Consider the following 18,408-nt stretch of genomic DNA (forward strand, 5'->3'; position numbering starts at 1 on the left):
CCCTGACCTCAGGTGATCCACCCACCTTGGCCTCCCAAAGTGCTGGGATTACAGACGTGGGCCACCACACCCAGCCGATATTTTTTTTTTTCAAAAGTACGCATACATCGACACCCACACCCACACCCACACCCACATGAAGGCGGTGTTTTTATGTATACTGCGTTTGTATGTAACTTGCTTTTTTCCTCTTGATACACCAGAGTGCTTCTTCCCTATTTTGGGTCCCAGGCATCGATGCTCTGGCTTTAGTGTGCCTGAGACTCATCTGGGGAACTTGTTAGGATTCCTGCCCTCCAAGCTGGAAGTGCAGATTCAGTCTGGAGGGGGGCCCGGAAGTCTGCACTTTCATGAGCATCTCAGGGGGTGCCAACTCCCTTTGATAAGCATCTCCTTGGACGTCCATGGACCCCAAGCTAGGACTCCCGAGTAAGTTTCCTTGACATTGCATATCCATATGCAGTATGATTTTGGGTGGATTTAAGGTACATTCCATGGAAGGATGTACCATTCCTTATTTTTTCAAACGGTGATGTTGGACATTTAGAGATATTTAGGTGGTTCCTTTTTTTGGTGCTACTGTAAACAATGCTATGGTGATCATCTTTGTAACTGAGTCTTTGAGGTCAGTAACAAACTATCCTCTGGAGTGATTTATGCTGACTAAGCAGTGACTGAGCAGGAATACAGGTTTCCCCATTTTGGTTGGCATTACCTTTACCCCTGTTCTAAGCACATTAGAAAAGCCCTGAGGCCTCAGCTGTGGGTTTTGGGCTCTTCCAAGGAGACAAAGGAGCTATCATAATGCTGGGAATGATGGATCCAGGCTGTGGGGATGCTATTGTGGACACAGGGCAGCATCAGAGCTTGGAAAAGCCTGCATGGCTGGCCAGGCTCAGCGTTTCCAAGAAAGGATCTAAAGATGGATGAAGCATCTCCTATCCTCAACAGGCAGCCTCAGGGATGGCTATTTCAGCCAGGTGCTTTTTACCTCCAAGTAATTAAGCATCCTGACTCAACCAGCGTAGGTGGCAAGGAAAATTTACTATCTTAATGCCAAGGCAATTTGCCAAAGAGGAACCAGAATGTGCAATACACAAGTGTTAAGGTCTCAGGGAATACAAATTGAAATAATAATGAGTTACCACTTCCCATTCATTAGATTGGCAAGAGTTGGCAAGAAGTGAAAGAAAGACTCATATATACTGCTAGTGGGAGCGTAAATGAATAAAATCAGATAGGACAGCAATTGGCAATATTGACTAAGGCTGGAGGTACACATTCCTTACGACCTAAGAATTCTGTTCCCTGGCATGTGCTCCAGAGACAACCTCACACCTGTGTTCAGGAATGTTCACTCAGCATAATTGTAATTAGGAAAATGGAAAACAGCCTAAATGCCTGTCAATTAGGAGTGCAGATAGACACACTAGGGACAATTTCCATAATGGACTATTTCACAAGAGGAAAAAATGAACACAACAGAATTCATGTATCAACATGGATAGTCCCCCAAAACAATGTTGAATGAAACATTAAGTAGTGTAGGGGTATAATTGGTATGATACCATTTATATGATGTCTAGGAACAAGCAAAACAATCCCTGATATTGCTGGGGGATATGTCCATATGTAGTAAGATTACAAACACACCTGAAGAAAGAATGCATGCCAAGTTCAGTGTAGTGAGAAGGGGAGGGGCTTGGAACCAGCAACTGAGTTCATGCTGTGTCCGAAATATTTTTTCTTAAGCAAAGATGTATTCATTATGTTTTCATCTGCACTCTTAAAATGTACTCTTTAAATGCACTTTTAATGTATTTTAAAGAAATTTTAAATGAGATATTTAATAATACAAGTATTTGAGAGCAATAAAAAAAGAAAGTCCATACAAGGAAGATGAACTTAGAGAGAGCTACCAGAGCAGGTAAATTTCCAGCATTCTTCCATCATTGTTGAGAGATGGGTGTCAAAGCCAGTGGTGTTCTGTTCTCCTTGGCAGGTAGATCCCCAAGGTGGTGTAGCTCAATGCAATTAGCTGGTAAGATCACCGGACTCACTCTTCCAGGGATGACTCCGTGCACATTAGGAAACCTGACATTGGTTTGCCTTCCAATGTCGCTCTTTTCTGTGGGGGCAATGCCCTGGGCACACATATTATCAGAACAATCTGCAATGGACTGGATGTTTGTTTCCCCCTTAAATTCATATGTTGAAGCTTAATGGCAATGTGGTGGTATTTGGAGGTGTGGTCTTTGGGAGGTAATGAGGTCATGATGGTAGGACCGTTGTGAATGGGATTAGCGCCTGTAAGAGGGGGCCAGAGAGCTTGTGCACTTCTTTTCTGTCATGTGAGGATGCAATGAGAAGACAGCTGTCTGTGACCTGGAAGAGGGCCCTCACCAGAACCCAACCATGCCAGCACTGGCACCCTGATCTTGGGCTTCCAGCCTCCAGACCTGTGAGAAATAAATGCCTGTTGTTGATTAGCCACCCAGCTTGTGCTATTTTGTTACAGCAGCTTGCACTGAGTAAGTTACTCCCTTACCTGCTGTAACCGTATACAGGAGGGGCCTGTGCATTTGGTAGCTTGGGTTCCTCCCTGAGCCTGTGAAACTCAGATTTGAACTCATGTATTTTGGGTGCCATGACTCTTGTCGAGGCAGAGTGAAAGGGCAAGGGCATGGAGCTAGATATCCAGGGTGACAACAGGCTCCCATGGTGCCTGAGTGTGCATTAAAAAAAGCACCCCTTCCACAAGACATTCTCCAAACTGTCGAACCAAACCCACCAGCATCTTCCTACCTGCCCATGTGCCGGGGTGGGGGGAAAATTAGACATGTTTGTCTCCCCACTACAAATGTCGGCCAAAAGATCCAACTGGAAAATGCTTGCTACTACCTTCCAGTTTCACGACCCTCTCAGCTAAGGAAGCCCTTCCTGCATCCATGTCTCTCTATGCCTGTCTGTGAAGTCCCAGCTCACAGCTGACCTGGTTAGGTAAGCACTGTTATTTTGTTTCAACGGAGGGAACTTTTGGATTACATGTACATAGCTAGTCAGTGGCAGCATTTGGTTCATCACGCTGGTTTTAAAAACTCCATTGCCTTTTCTCTTCATTAGTCCTATCATCTTATGAAGAAAGTCAACTCAGTAAAAATATCCGTCAAACAATGGCTTAGGGATATGCGTACAGAACAATCAAATCAGCTGACAGAATATCTGGCTTTTCACCCAGTTATAAAATGTTGTGCTTTGCTTAACATGGTGAAGAACGAAAGCTGCTAACAGCTGATTTCTTTCTCCCAAAATGTGAGCCCTGCTATGGGAGAGCGCAACCAGCAGGGGGTGCTGGCGTCTTTCCCTGAACTTCAGGGCACGCTTGAGAGAGGGTACCTGGCGGGTGGGCAGTGGCCTCAAGTTACCAAACGAAGGGGTGGGCGCAAGGTGTGCTGATTGGACTCCATTGGCTGCGCTGGGTTCCCGTAGCGTATGTGAGAGATACCTGTCACCACTTCCCGGCTAAGACCCAGCCAGTTTCAGCAAGGACGTTCCCTCCACTGGACCCACCAGGACCCACTCCCTGCAGGGCACCATGGTCCCTCTCAAGAGGCTTTGGAGGAACTTGGGAGTTACAGGGTGTTCCCCTGATGGGAGAGTCCCTGGCATGCCGCGTGTGAATGGGACTGAGTTGGGTGGGGGAGGCTAGGAGGGCACTTGTGCTGGGTGTGATGGGGGAATGTAGTCCATGTTAGTTCCTCCTAAGAGCAGCCACTAAGAGGACTCTGGGGAGGGACAGATGGGTGCAGTGTTTTAACCCACAAATGGGAGGGTAATTCTGGCATGATGGTGGTTTTAGCAATGTTAGTAATGCACGGACCACCATAACCATGATAGTGAAGCTACATGTCTAAAAAATGTAAATCAAATCAGGCCACCTGCTAAAAACGATTCAATGGTTTCCCATTGCCCCCCCTCCCTTTTTTTGAGGCGGAGTTTCGCTCTTGTCACCCAGGCTGGAGTGCAATGGCATGATCTCAGCTCACTGCAACCTCCGCCTCCTGGGTTCAAGCGATTCTCCTGCCTCAGCCTCCTGAGTAGCTGGGATTACAGGCGCGCGCCATAACACTTGTCTAATTTTTGTATTTTTAGTAAAGATGGGGTTTCACCATGTTGGTCAGGCTGTTCTCGAACTCCTGACCTCAGGTGATCCACCCGCCTCGGCCTCCCAAAGTGCTGGAATTATAGGCATGAGCTACCGCGCCCCGCCCTCCCATTGCTTTTAGTAGAAAATACAAACTCCTACCCGTGGACTATTGGGGCTATCACGATCTGGGCTCTGCATCTCCATCTTCTCATGCCAGTCCCATCCTCTGCCTCCCCAACCCCATCGCCCTTCCTCCTGCATGGCTGCAGCCACACCTGGCTTCTTCTCTTTAATATTCCTACCATGCCTGCCCCACAGGACCTCCGCAGGAGCTGCTCTCTCTGGGGTGTGCACTTCTGGCTCAGGGCAAGGATCCATCTTTCTCACCCTTCAGGCTGTGTGTAGATAGATGTCCCTCTGTAGTGAGGTCCTCACTATCCAGCTCATTACGCTTCACTTCGGCACCCTGTCCAGACCCTTCACAGTCAGCTGCCAGCTGTGTTTTCTTATTTATTGGTGCTCATCCAGTCCAGTCCTGGATGGGACTGCCTGCCTCATGAGGGCATGAGCTTTGCCTTCTCCTCTCCCAGAACCTCCCTGATGTGGTTGCTTGGACACGTGGGCCACCCTCCCAACACCAGACTATCGCAGGGTGCGGGAAGGGCTGGGGCCGCCGCGGGCCTTGAGGATCGCCATGTTTCCTTCTCTAGTTTTTGAGACATTGGTGAAGATCCTCTGCCTGCTTCTAGCACACACATCCTGATCTCCTTCTGCCTTCAAGACACAAGATGGCGCTTTAAGCCTGGTTGTTAAGAAAGAGGACTACAAACGCTTGAGTTTCTTCCCTCTGCTCGCTCTCAGACGTGGCTTGCGAGGGGATTTGTGGGGTCCACCTCTCCACAGCTTGGTGGGTGGGTTCCGTCCTCCTCCTCGGACAGGGCAGGACCAGCAGCCAATCACTCCTTCCTGCCAGAGAAGGAAGTGGCGCTCAAACTGTTTTTCTGACATCAGTAATATCTGCCTACACTCCTCCAGCAGGCATCTCTGAAACATCAGTTTTGGGTGATTGGTCTAAGCCAAGCACCTTTGATAGCAAGGGTAAGCCCGCTATCCTTTGCTGGAGATGGGCACGGAGAGGGCATGTGAAGAGTGCCAGACCAGGCGTTGACAAACTATGGCTCATGAGAAGAATGGAGTGTACATTTTTAAAGGGTCATCTCTCTCTCTCTCTCTCTCTCTCACACACACACACACACACACACACACACACACACACACAGAATATGCTGCAGAGATCATATGTGACCTGACAAGCCTAAAATACTCACTATCTGGTCCTTTATAGGAAATGCTTACTGACCTCTGGTCTAAACACTGAGAGGTAAGGGACCTCTGCTGCACCGCCCTGGAGGGATTTTTGATCCCTAAATAAGAAGAGGTGAGGAGGAAGCCTGCCCTTCCTCCTGGCCTGAATGTGCTTCTGAGAGGCAGTCAAGCCTGGAACTGTGGCAGCCGGCTTGTGACCATGAAGAAACCAGCCCAAGAAGAAAGGCCAACCTGCCAAGGAGGGAACAGGAGCCTGGGGCCTCGAGGACTTTGCTGAGCCTTCGTGTGACCCTGGAGCCACCTTCCTCTGGAGTTCTTGTGATGGCAGATAATTCAATGTTGTCATTGTTCAAGCCAGGGGTGGGTGAACTTTTTCCATAAAGGGCCACATGGAAAACATTTTAGGCTCTGTGTGGGCCATGAGATCTCTGTTGGCACTACAACCCTAAAAACAACCATAGACAATGTGTAAATGAATGGGTACACCTATGTTCCAATAAAACTTTACTTATAAAAATAGATGGTGGGCTGAATTTGGCCCTGAGGGCCAGAGTTTGCTGCGTATTTTGTTTGTTTGTTACTTGCAGCTGACCTATCCTAACTAGTACTCCCTGAAGTCTGCCTCAGCTCAGAAGCGTCCTTGGGTTCCAAGCCACAGGGGCTAAGCTTGAGTGTGGGTGGGGTCTGCAGCAGGGTGGTGGGAGGGATAAGCACATAAAGGCCCACACATTGATCTGCCCTTTCTATGGTCCAGGTCGTGCTTTCCTGCAATATCTTCTCATCATGGGCCTAGCAATCATGATGGGAAGGCCTCACTTTAAGAGAATGCTTTCAGCATTTCCAGGCGGTCCCTGCTTGCCCTCAACACTACATGTAGGCCTCAGCCTCCACACCTAGCATGTTTGTTAAGCAAGACTAAGCCACATGAAGCAACAGGGCAAGGGGAGGGCCCTTGTGTTCTCAGGGTCCCACGGCAGAAGTGTGGTTCCGGGAGAAATGGGGGAGTGTGCCCTTCCCTGAACAAGCATATTCCCTCAGTGTGGAGGAGCCCCTCCAAAATTTACAAGTGCTGTGATGACACGATGCTCATTCAGACCATCAGCTGCAGACAGATTGCAGAAATATGTAAGGGCTCTGTCCTTGGAGGTAGGATCTGGTTGCTCCTTGTTCCCTAAGCTTGGCCCTGAAGGGAGGGCAGGATTCCAGCCAGAGTGAATGAAGAGTGAGGCTTTGGGGAAGGGCTCGGATTGCCTCTCGTGCTTGTGTTCAGATTCCTGCTGATTGGTTGTTCCCCAGGGAGACGAGGCTTCGAGGCCAGGTCTCTGCTCTGAGTTAACTTCACCACCCTGCACCTTGGTGGCAGTAAGAGAGCGACCTCAAAGGGCCGCTGAGAGAATTGAGGTGGATGCCTGTACAGCTCTAGTTATGGCACCCATTCCGGCCCCTGGCAAGCTCTTACTACGGTTGCAGGTGTAATTTCCAGTCTCTGCCTCCAGGGATTGCTGCTGAGCACAGACACGTTTCTCTGCTCACAGAGTGAGGCCGCCAAGATGATTCTCAGATCTCTGGTTCTGTATACAGCCCAGATAGCCTGTGAAAGGGGGAATGATAACCCCCAAAGATGTCCACGTCCTAACCTCCAGAACTAGTGAATGGGATGTTGGCAGAAGAGACTCTGTGGATGAGATTACTTCAAAGATTTGCGACGGGGAGACTATCGTGGGTTATCTGTGTGGATACGCAATGTAATCACAAAGTGTCCTTATAGATGAAGAGGGAGGCAGAGGAGATTCGACTACAGAAGAGAAGGTGATGCGACCGTGGAGGCAGAGATTGGAGTGATGTGCCCACAATTCACAATGCCAGCAGCCACCAAAGAGGCAAGGAATGGATTCTCCTCTAGGGCTTTTACCAAGGGTCCTGGCAACACCTCAGTTTTAGTCCAGGAAGACTCGTTTTGGATTTGTGACCTCCAGAACTATGAGAGAATACATCTGTGTTGTTTGAAGCTGCCAGGTTTGCAGTAGTGTGTTAGAGCAGCGTGGAAAATCCATTGAGTCCCATTGCCCTGCTTTTTATGCCTTGATGCCTTGTACAAAAGCAGAAAATGGTATGGATGGAATGGGAGGTCATTATGTTAAGTGAAACAAGCCAGGCACAGAAAGACACACATTGCGTGTTCTCACTGATTTGTGGGATCTAAAAATCAAAACAGTTCAACTCATGGAGCTAGAGAGCAGAAAGGTGGTTACCAGAGGCTGGGAAGAGGAGTGGGGGGCTGAGGGCAGGTGGGGATGATGTTAGAAAGAATGAATAAGATATACTGTTTGATCACACAGCAGGATGACTGTAGTCATTAATAATTGTACATTTACAAATAACTAAAAGACTGTAATTAGATTGTTGGTATTAGAAAGGATAAATGTGCCGGGTGCAGTGGCTCAGGCCTGTAATCCCAGCACTTTGGGAGGCCGAAGTGGGCGGATCATGAGGTCAGGAGATCGAGAGCATCCCCGTGAACACTGTGAAACCCCATCTCTACTAAAAATACAAAAAAAATTAGCCTGGCATGGTGGCGGGCACCTGTAGTCCCAGCTGCTCAAGAGGCTGAGGCAGGAGAATGGCATGAACCTGGGGGGCGGAGCTTGCAGTGAGCAGAGATCACGCCATTGCACTCCAGCCTGGGTAACAGAGCTGGACTCCATCTCAAAAAAAAAAAAAAGAAAGAAAGAAAGGATAAATGCTTCAGGGATGGACACCTCATTCTCCATGATGTGCTTATTTCACAGTGCATGTCTGTATCAAAACATCTCATGTACCTCACATATATATGCACCTAATGTGTACCCAGAAAAAAATGAAAAAGAGCATAAAAGAAAAAAAAAACAAAAAACAAAAGCAGAAAAGAGGGCAAATGAGAGTGGGACTGTGATCTCATTTTGCCCAGGATGAAGCTGGGTGACCCGGGTACAGAGCAAGCCCCTTGGCTTCTTGAGCTCCCATGTGCAGAGTGAGGGGCGGATGCAGGGGCAGGGTGTGACTTTGATGAACATTCCCTCCAGGTGGCTCTGCCCTCGGCCCCCTCTCAGGATTGTTTGTAGCTCTTTGCCTCTTCTTGGCCATTTGGAGTTTTCAGGGGCCCTACTAGGTCCTCTTGACTTCTCACTTTGCTCTCCTTGGTGGTCTAATTCATGGCCAAGGGCCCACCTGCCGTCCAGACACTGCTTTTCAACCTGACCTCTCAGCTCCAGGCTGGTTATTTCCAACAGCCTACTTGGGTGTCTCAAAGGCACTTTACACTCAATGTGTCCAACACTGAACTCAAGGCTCCCGGCATCGCCATTCAGTTATCCCTCCACATTTCCAACCCTATGGATTGCACTAGCGTCTGTCCATTATGCAGGCCAGGCTGCAAAGGCTGTCTCAACGCTGCCCTTATGCTGTCGGGGCTTAGAACATGACACCCCAAAGCGTGGTGCCTCAGCCTGAGTATTTTGAACTGAAGGACATTGGAAGGAACTCAGAAGCAAGGTCTTTCCAACCTCCTCAGACCCTCTCTTCTGCTTGCCTTCATCCTCCAAAGTGAGTCACAGAAACCAGAATTTATCTTCCTCAAGATGGGTCATAGAACCTAGAAACCCTCCTGCTAAAGCAAACCATAAAACCTAGAAAGGTCACTCTCTATCTTCTCCTTCTCCTTTGAAAACTCTCATTTCAGAAAGGGTCCCGCCCCATACCCAGGAGGAATGGAGGCTACACAGAGAGGCTGAGAAGAATCTGAGCAGACAGTTTTGCTGGGTCCCCTTTCAGTCTGTTCCCAGTAGGTCATACCCGTTTGTCCAATCACATTTCTATCTGGCTGTCCATTCTTCATCTAATCTAAGCATAAAAATTAACAGTTTTCCCTGGGCCTTTGGGTTGTCATTTCTGAAGCCTCCCATGTCACATAAAACTTGGATTAAATAAATTTGCTCTGTTTTTCTCTTGTTAATGTGTCTTTTGTTATAGGAGTGTTGGCCGTGACCCTTAAGATGGATAAGTAAAGGACTCACACCTTCACAGCTCTACAGCCCCATCTCCAATAAGTAGCCACACCTGCCACTTCTACCCACAAATACCTGGATTCCGCTCATCTCTTCCCATTGTCATTCCTACCACTCAATTCCCTGTCACCATCATCTCCTGATGGGTCTTCTGGAGCAGCTTCCTCACTCATCTCTCCAGTTCATCCCTTGCTTCTACCAGTCTATCCTTGCTACGGTAAAACGGGCATTTGAGAAAGGCAATTACACGGTTACCCCTCCCCTGCTCAGCACTCTCCAATTTGATGGACACCAAAATCCTTGCCTTGGTCCCCTTGGTCCTGCGTGCCCTCCTCTCTGGCCTCATCTCAAGCCACTGCCCTCGTGCTGCACTCTTCCTCTGTAATCCACACTGCTGGCTTCTTTTCCTTGAATGTGCTATGCTCTCTCCTGCTGCAGGAGGGCCTTGCACTTGCTGCTTCCTCTTCTTTCTTCTAGTGAATTCCTATTCCTCCTTCAGCTCTCCATTCAAGCCAGTGCCTCAGGGAAGTCTTCCCTCACCTCTAGACCAGGTCTGGTGTCCCTGCCATGAAGCCTCACAACACCATCCAGCTTTCCTTCCTTGCATCTGTCATAGCTTTTGATCATACAATGATGTGTGGGACTTTCTGAATAGTGGTCCCTCTTTACCAATTAACTGTGAGCCTCAAGAGAAAGGAATAATGTCTGTTTGCTCCTCCTCTGTATCCCTAGTGGTGGTAGAAGAGGAGATCAATAATTATCCTCAAATGAACTAAAATGAATGGATGCTTAGATTTTTTTTTTTTTTTTTTTTGAGACAGGGTCTTGCTCTGTTGCCCAGATGTGATGATCATGGTTCACTGCAGCCTCAACCCCTGGGGCTCAAGTGATCCTCCCACCTCAGCCTCCCAGGTAGCTGGAACTACATGCATCCACCTCTATGCCTGGCTAATTTTTGTATTTTATTTTATTTTATTTTTTTAGAGATGGGCTATTTTTACGTTGCCCAGACTCGTCTCGAACACCTGGGCTAAAGCAATCTGCCCACCTCGGCCTCCCAAAGTACTGGGATTACAGGCAGGAGCCACTGTGTCTGGCCCAATGCTTAAGATCTTTTGAGACAAAAAGGAGGAAGTGGGAGATAGTTTCAATACCACAGGAAGCTCAGAAAAAAAAACACCCCCCAACCCCCCCAAAAAACACACATGTATTTATTTGATATTTGGCTGTGCAGGTTAAAAAGTTATTTATTTATTTATTTGCTTTTGGAAAAACTCGAGTCAGCTTGATGAGGTCACTTTTTCCTGCTACTCCTTCTTATTTGGGGAGTAAAGGGACTTCCATGATCTGGATGGATGATTGTGATGAGGAGGTTACCGGGATTGCCCTGAGAGAATGGACTGTGAGCTTTCAGGGATGGAAGCTGCATCTTCATCTCTATAATCCCTTGTTTGGCACAGTGTCAGCCTGAGAAGATGCTTGGCGACAAATATGAATTATGGCACACACTGTTAATTTCTTACCCATGAGCAGTTCCTTTGCTTGCTAACAGAAAATCCTGATTTTGCTTGGATAAACAAAGTGTCCAGTGTCAGGTGATGACTCAAGGTTGGTTTAAGCCAGGCTGGGGCCTTTTGTTCCTTTTTGCCTGATACTTGAAAGAGTTTACAGTAGGGACTGTCCTGTGGTCCACTTCTGGATAATGAGACATAAGGAGAAGTCTGCTGTGTCCTTCTAAGAAGATTTTCTTCACTGGTTAAAGGCGAGAGACACATCAAGAAAAGCCCCCCTTGACATAGCTTCCTCCATCTTGTTCCTGGAGTCTGAACTTGGTCATGATGGCTGGAGCTATAACAGCCATCCTGTGATCATGAAGCTCCAAGGGTATAAAGCAGTAATATTCAGGAAGGTGGAGCCTTTGGACAAAATGATAAAAGGAATCTGGGGCCTCAGCTACATCACTGAGCCTTTTCAAGTCCTTGCCTTCTTCCTCTTAAATCCTGTTATGTTACATAACTAAATGTCTTTATTGCAAAAGCCACAAGTAGTCAGGCTTTCTGTTATTCACAGCTGAAAGCATTTCTCTTATTTTCAAATAATTTCAGACTTATAGAAGAATTAATTGTAAGGCAAAGAACTTTCATGACCTTCACCCACCTTCACCAATTGTTATTTGCCACATTTACTTTCTCCATCTATATAGTCTATTCTACTCTATTATCTTTCCCTGAACCATTTGAAATTCAGTTGCAGGCATCCTTCTCCTCTCCCTTAAACATTCCAGAACATATTCCATCAGAACAAGAAGACTCTAGTGCTCAAGTTCGGGGAATTTGAGGTTGATGCCATACAATCGTGTAGTCCTTGATAATTGTCTAATATACAGTTCACTTAAAATTTCGCCAACAGTCCCAATAATGCCCTTTAAGGCACGTTTCCCCTGATCCAGCTGTCATACCTTTTTAGTCTCCCTTAATCTGGAACAGTTCCTCTGCCTCTTTTTGTCTATCATGGGGTTGACGCCGAAGAACAGTTCAGGTCAGTCCTTGAAGGTCCCTCCATCTGTGTTTGTCTGATGTTTCCTCCAGGGACCGGAATGCTACAGAAGCAATGCTGTGTTCTCAGTGTATCACATCAAGAAACACTTGGCACCCATTTGTCCTATTCCTGGTGTTGTTAACTTTGTTCAGCTCATTAAGGGAGGACCTGCTGGGTTTCTCTACTGTTAAGTTACCACTTTTTCTCTTTGCAATTAATAAACCATATGAGTGGAAGTGCTATGAGACAATGAAAACATACTTTACCTTCCTAAATTTTCACTCAGTGATGATTCTTCCTTGAATAAACTATTATGATCATGTTTGCAAATGGAGTTTTCTATTATTCCCTCTGTATTTATTCATTGGCATTCTACTGTAAGAAAGTCTTCTTCCTTCTTCCCTCCCTCCGTCCCTCCCTCCCTCTCTCCCTCCCTCCCTCTCTTCTTCTTTCTTTTCTTCCTTCCCTTTTCTTTCTTTCTATAGCTATAGGTTCCCATTTTATTCAATAGACTATAATCTACCATTATCATTATTAATTTGGATGCTCACATCATCCTAGATTTGGCCAGTGGAAGCCCCTTGAAGTTGATTGATGTGTCCTTTGACATGTCCCTGTCATTTTTTAAATGCTTCCTTGCTTTCTGGCACCACACAGCACTCTGGGCTCACCTTGTACTTCCCTACCCCAGCCTTAGCATCAGCCATTTCTACAAGGAGCTCTGAGTCCTTTTAGTGAAGGGTGGTATTTATAAACCACAATCTGGATGGTTTGTGGATATTGCACAGCATTCAGTCAGAAGCCATGGGAAATGAAGCGACATTTATTGAAACTTGTATTAGTCAAGCAACTTAATGCTAGGCTAAGTTGCAGTGAGTAATAATCCCTAACCCCAGTGACAGTGCAGAAAAAGAAGGGTTTCATATGTGGAGTGTGATGCATGTCAATGGGAGTTTCCTCCACCTGGTGACTCAGGTATCCAGGCACATTCATCTCTGCGGGTCTGCCATCTTGACACGAGGTCATTGCAGAAGGAGAGAGGGTGTAGAGTCATGCCAGTTCTTAGGTGCTCCTGACAAGGAGATCTGCAGCACTCTGCTCACATTCCTGTTTTCCAGAACTCAGCCAGTACCCAGTGCAACTGCCAAAGAGTCTGGGAAGCATAGAGAGTACACGGATAGCTGGAGATCCCTCATCACTACTGTCATGATATGTTCATTTATGCAATACATATCAATGGGTTCACCCCAGTCAGGCTGACTCCAAGAGGCTAAGATGACTTCACCTTGGGTGGTTTGCAGCTGGGAAAGAAAGGCAAGTCGGCACCGATCGAAGAGATCATTCACTTCAGTGGGCTGTCGAGCTGTGCTAGAGGCAGGTGCAGTGTGCTGCAGAAATACAGATGGTGACTACTACCCTGGAGTCTTGGGGAGATCCTGGTGTGCATTGGTGTGGGGTTGGAAAGGTGAGTTGGCACTCACCCCCTTCAAGAAGAAGTGGGAAGGACATTTCAGACAGGGGCAAGTGCAAACGCACAGGGCCTGAAAGAACTAGGCTGGGAGAAGAGGATGGCATTGGAATGGGTGGGAGAGGGGTCTGCTGGGGAAAGCTGGGGAGGCAAGAGACGAGGCTGGACAAGCAGATTGTGAAGGGCCACACTGAGGAGCTGGGGATTAGTACATTAATTTTTATTAATTGGATTAATGATTAATAATGTGGGTGGCAGGGAATCATAGGGAGTGTGAAGAACACTGTGGTTGTGTTTTAGGAGGATTGCCTTGGTGGTAGAGCGTTGGATGGAGGAGATAGGAGTGGGGGTGAACACATCAACACAGAGACCTGCCCAAAGGCTCTGGCAGCCATGCAAGCAAAAAGCGTCGAGGACCTCAATTAGGAGGTAGCACTGGGGATGGATAGAAGGGGTTGGCTGGTGGAGCCATTTTGAGATAATGAATCAATAATAGCTTCCATCTATTGTGGATTGTCAAGATGTATTATTGGCTCACAATCCTTCCTGGCCTTTCCACATTCCTGCGACTTCCCTGTGGACAGGACAGAGCAGATTTCTTGCTGTGCACATGACCAGCTTTGGCTAGAGATGCATGAGCAGAGTTAGTGCATGCCTGGTCTGACTGGAGGCTCTAACTGAATGTGGTGTTGGGTGGCAGCACTGACCCTACCCCTGCACAATGAGAAGAGCAAGCTCCGGGGAACCACTGGCCTGTGAATGAGACACACAGAAGCAAACAGAGCCTGGCCCCCAGTCCGAGGCAAGGCTTCCCAGCTCACTGCAAATTATTAGCAAGAAATAAACACTTGTTTTGAGCTGCTGAGCCCCTGGGGCTGTGTGTTATGCAGCAATGCTGTAAAAACACTTGACCAATACAGGGACTTGCCCTTTCGTAAGTACAGCATCTCATTTACCCATGATATCTCTTCATAGTAAGGATTAGGGATGCCATTTTAAAGATGAGGCAACTGAGGCTTAGAGAGGTTACGTCACTTGCTTAAGGTTCCAGAGCTGGTAAGTCAGAGAAGGATTTGAAGCCAGGACTGTCTCGTAAGCCCATCCTTCTGCCTCTGTCTACACAGTGCTGCCTTTCAAAGGTGGCAAGCTCTTGAGTTAGCCATTTTAACCTGCCAGAAACCTCCTTGCTCCTGAACTGGGGAGAGGGACTGAGCTTTGGATTTCAAGAGGAGGATCTAGGGCCACCATCAGGGGTCCTGTGCTTGAGGTGATGTGGCTGGCTCATCACCTGAGCCTTTCCACCTGCCCCTCCCCATCCCCTCCCCTCTACCCTGCTCCCTGCCCTGTGCCAAGCTGAGCACATTGGCAGGGCTGGTGGCTGGGAGCTCAGCATGTATCCTGTAGCCACAGAACAGAGCTTTTCTTGCTATAATACAGAGTTCAGTCTTGATATCAGCAGTGGGTGCAGCAAAATCCCACCGATTTTCTTATCAAGTTTTCCATTTGTGTCAGTGAAGCAAATCCAATTTAAAATACATCTTCAGAAAAAGGAGGGTCAGTGAGTTCAAACAGAAGAATATTTGCTAACTGGATCAGGAAACCTCGCTCTGTGCTAAACTGTTTGAGGAAAATCCTCTTAGCACAATTTTGCAGGAGCCAGGCATGTGAAAGGATCATTTCCTCACTATCATCCCCTGAGATCAGGGCTCTGGCTGGATGAAACGAGGCAGCTGCTTAGCTGATTAGAGCCTGTGCTGATGAGGCTGAGCTCTGAAAGTCAACATCAGGGAGAGATCTTGGTTTCCAGTAGTTTTTAATTCTTCCCAACTCTTTGTGGGAAAGAGCCTGGGTAAGACAGGACACCAACTACTTGCTCAAAACCACCATCCCCACCAGACAAGCAGCTCATGGAACCCTCCCTGGGAAAGACTGAAGGCTGTGGAGACCTAGCTGCATATTATATTATATTTTGCATTATAAGGTCTTATCGATACAGAGAAAACTCTCAATTTCAAAAAATGATGAGAAACTCAGTCTTTTTTTTTTTTTAGATAGTCTTGCTCTGTCTCATCTCCCAGGCTGGAGTGCAGTGGCACGATCTCAGCTCACTGTAACCTCTGACTCCTGGTTCAAGTTATTCTTCTCCCTCAGCCTCCCGAGTAGCTGGGATTACAGGTGTCTGCCACCTCACCCAGCTAATTTTTGTATTTTTAGTAGAGATGGGGTTTTGCCATGTTGGTCAGGCTGGTTTGAGCTCCTGACCTCAGGTGATCTACCCACCTCAGCCCCGAAAGTGCTGGGATTAAAGGCGTGAGCCACCACACCTGGCCAAAAAATGAAGAGAAACTCAGTGTTTTGGATAACAGGGAGAATGTTTAGTGTTCTAAAAATGTATCCTTTCACATGTAAAGCTTCTTGCCTCTGAGCCTTTGCCAGTGCTGTTCCGTCTGCTAGGGTCGTACTTCCACCCTGCATGCTGGTGAATTCCACTTTGCCCTCCAGCCCAAGCATCATATTTTCCAGACAGTCATTTGCCATGCTGCCCACCAAACAGGCTGTCCCTTGTTCTCATGCCACTGCTGAACATTGTTTATTCCTTGTGCTAGGCAGGGCTCTGTCAGTTGTAACAACTGAAACTCCACTTAGACATGTTTCAGCTGAAGGGTGACTTATTGATTTTTATAACTGCAAAGACCATGGTATGCCTGAATTTGGAGGTTCAAGTAAGTTATTTTCTCTCTCTCTCTCTCTCTCCTCTTCCTCTCCTCCTTCTCATTTTCCTTCTCTTTTTCTTTCCTCTCCTCCTTCCCTCCGTTCTTCTTTTCCTTCTTTTTCTCTTTCTCCCTCTCTCCTTACTTTTTTCTCTTTCTCTCCTTTTAATTTGCTCTATTCTCTATATGGGCCTCGTTCCTTCTACTGCAAATAAGGAAAATGACCACCTGGAAACCCAAAAGGCCCACCACATCCCAGCAGAGCCACCCCAGCTGAAAGAAACCCAGCTTCTCTCTCCAGCTTCTACACATCAATCCAGGCCAGAACTCCATCTGACCCTTGTGAGACATGCTTCCACACCTCGGTGGACCACTGAGGCTCGGGAATTCAGCATAATGATGGGCACTTCTGGGGTCATGGGCCTTCCCTGTAGCTAAGGTGACAAAAGGACAGACTGGTCTGGAATGTCCATGCCAGCTGGCTTACATGCCCAGCCATTGATGCTGGCTGCTTTCTGGGAGCTCAGTTGTGCTCTAGACCAGAAAACCTCCATGTGGCCTCTCCACATGACCCTCATTTCTCAGCATGGTGGCTGCGGCCCAACGGGGAGACTCTCATGAGCAAAGTTTCCAAAAGACCAAAGTGGCAGCTGCGAGCCTCCTCATGGCTGAGCCTCAGCCCCCATGCAGCATCAGAGCCACTGCAGTCTTGGCTTCCCAGGAGGCCAGCCCAGAAGCAGCAAGAAAGGGGACCTGGAAACCAGGAGGTTTGGTTCGAGGGAAGGCCCTCTGATATAATTTGGATATTTATCTCCACCCAGATTTCAAGTTAAATTGCAGTCTCCAGTGCTGGAGTTGGGGCATGGTGGGAGTTGTTTTGACCATGGGGGTAGATCCCTCATGGCTTGCTGCTGTCTTTGAGATAGTGAGTTCTTGTGAGATCTGGTTATTTAAAAGTGTGTGGCATGTCCCTCCCCACACCCACCGACTCTCTCTTCCTTGTTCCTGCTTTGGCCACATGATGTGCCTGCTCATGATTGTAAACTTCCTAGGCCTCCTTAGAAGCCAAGCAGATGCCAGCACCATGCTTCTTGTGAAGCCCGCAGAACAATGAGCCAATACAAACTCTTTTCTTTATAAATTAACATCTCAGATATTTCTTTATAGCAACGCAAGAATGGCCTGATACGCCATCTTTGGAGACTAGCTAGCACATGGGCCTTCTCCATCTGTAGCTACACTTCTAGAACAGACATGGCTTCCAAGGCCACTGCAGCAGCTGGAGGAAGAGCTCAGGGTCCTGTGGGATGTTCCTCAGGCTCAGATCTGTGGTTCCGCCCACATTCTATTGGCCATAATCTCGCTCCCTAGCCTCCACTTGACAGCAAGGAACCTAAGGGAAGGGATCTGCTGAGGGCAATCTCTGCCACAAGGAGCAAGTGAAAGCAAGTAGAGAGGAAGCCAAGACTGATGCCCAAGTGGGAGAGGTGCTGAGGAGAGAGGTCTTTTTTTTTTTTTTTGACAGAGTTCTGAATGTTTCAGAGTAGTCCAAGTGCACCCAAAAGCACAATAATTAAATGAGGGGCAGGAGAGTGGTTTAGAAGAAGATTGTTTTTCTGGATTCAGCTCCAACAAAGTTTGTCCTGCAGGTCTTGGTGCTGTGCCATGGTCCTTCTCGCCAATAATATTCAGCCTGGATACCCCGCTGTGGCTCTACCAGGGAGGAAAATATTTTCCTGCCACTGCCCTGAGCCTCCTGACTGACCCCAGCTGCCTTAGACATCCCAGCTTTTGGGACTACCCCAGACCTCCCTATAACCAGCAATCAGAGGCTGGCACAGCAAGGGTGCTTTGGAACCCTGCCTGGTGCTCCAGGGTGACAGGCAGCACCTGCTGTCATTGGTCAGTGTCTGTGCAGTATTTGCTAGAGTTTTGTGGATCTCAGCCTTGAAATCTGTGTCTTTCTATAGTCAAAGGATCTGAGTTGGGAGAAGGCACCTAGATATGCTCCACCATAGCGTTCTGGTGTTTCCTGTCATCTCTGAAGCCTCTGAGCTCTTATAACAGGGGCTTAAAGATGGTAGCATTGAGATATGAAGGCTTGTAGTTGTTGTCCAGTTCAGGGGACTTTAACTCCAGGTATCTGGAACTTAGAATAAATCCTCATGCCCTCAC

The 18,408-nt window shown here is 47.6% G+C and overlaps 1 long non-coding RNA gene across 4 annotated transcripts in view; it reads right to left on the reverse strand.

The window, feature by feature from the left end:
• The window catches only part of LOC107985200 (uncharacterized), a 42,281-nt gene that overhangs the window by 6,092 nt on the left and 17,781 nt on the right, over positions 1-18,408 (reverse strand). The window contains exon 3 of one of the 4 annotated variants that reach the window (XR_007066535.1): positions 68-5,113. The exons of 2 other annotated variants lie outside the window; for them this stretch is intronic. This is a non-coding gene — a long non-coding RNA (uncharacterized LOC107985200). Of the gene's footprint in view, positions 1-67; positions 5,114-12,857; positions 13,208-18,408 lie in introns of those variants that run through there. One more of the 4 variants, XR_001738208.2, reaches the window with a different exon arrangement.

The sequence above is a fragment of the Homo sapiens genome, chromosome 1, assembly GCF_000001405.40.
Source record: "Homo sapiens chromosome 1, GRCh38.p14 Primary Assembly".
Classification (NCBI taxonomy): Eukaryota; Metazoa; Chordata; class Mammalia; order Primates; family Hominidae; genus Homo; species Homo sapiens.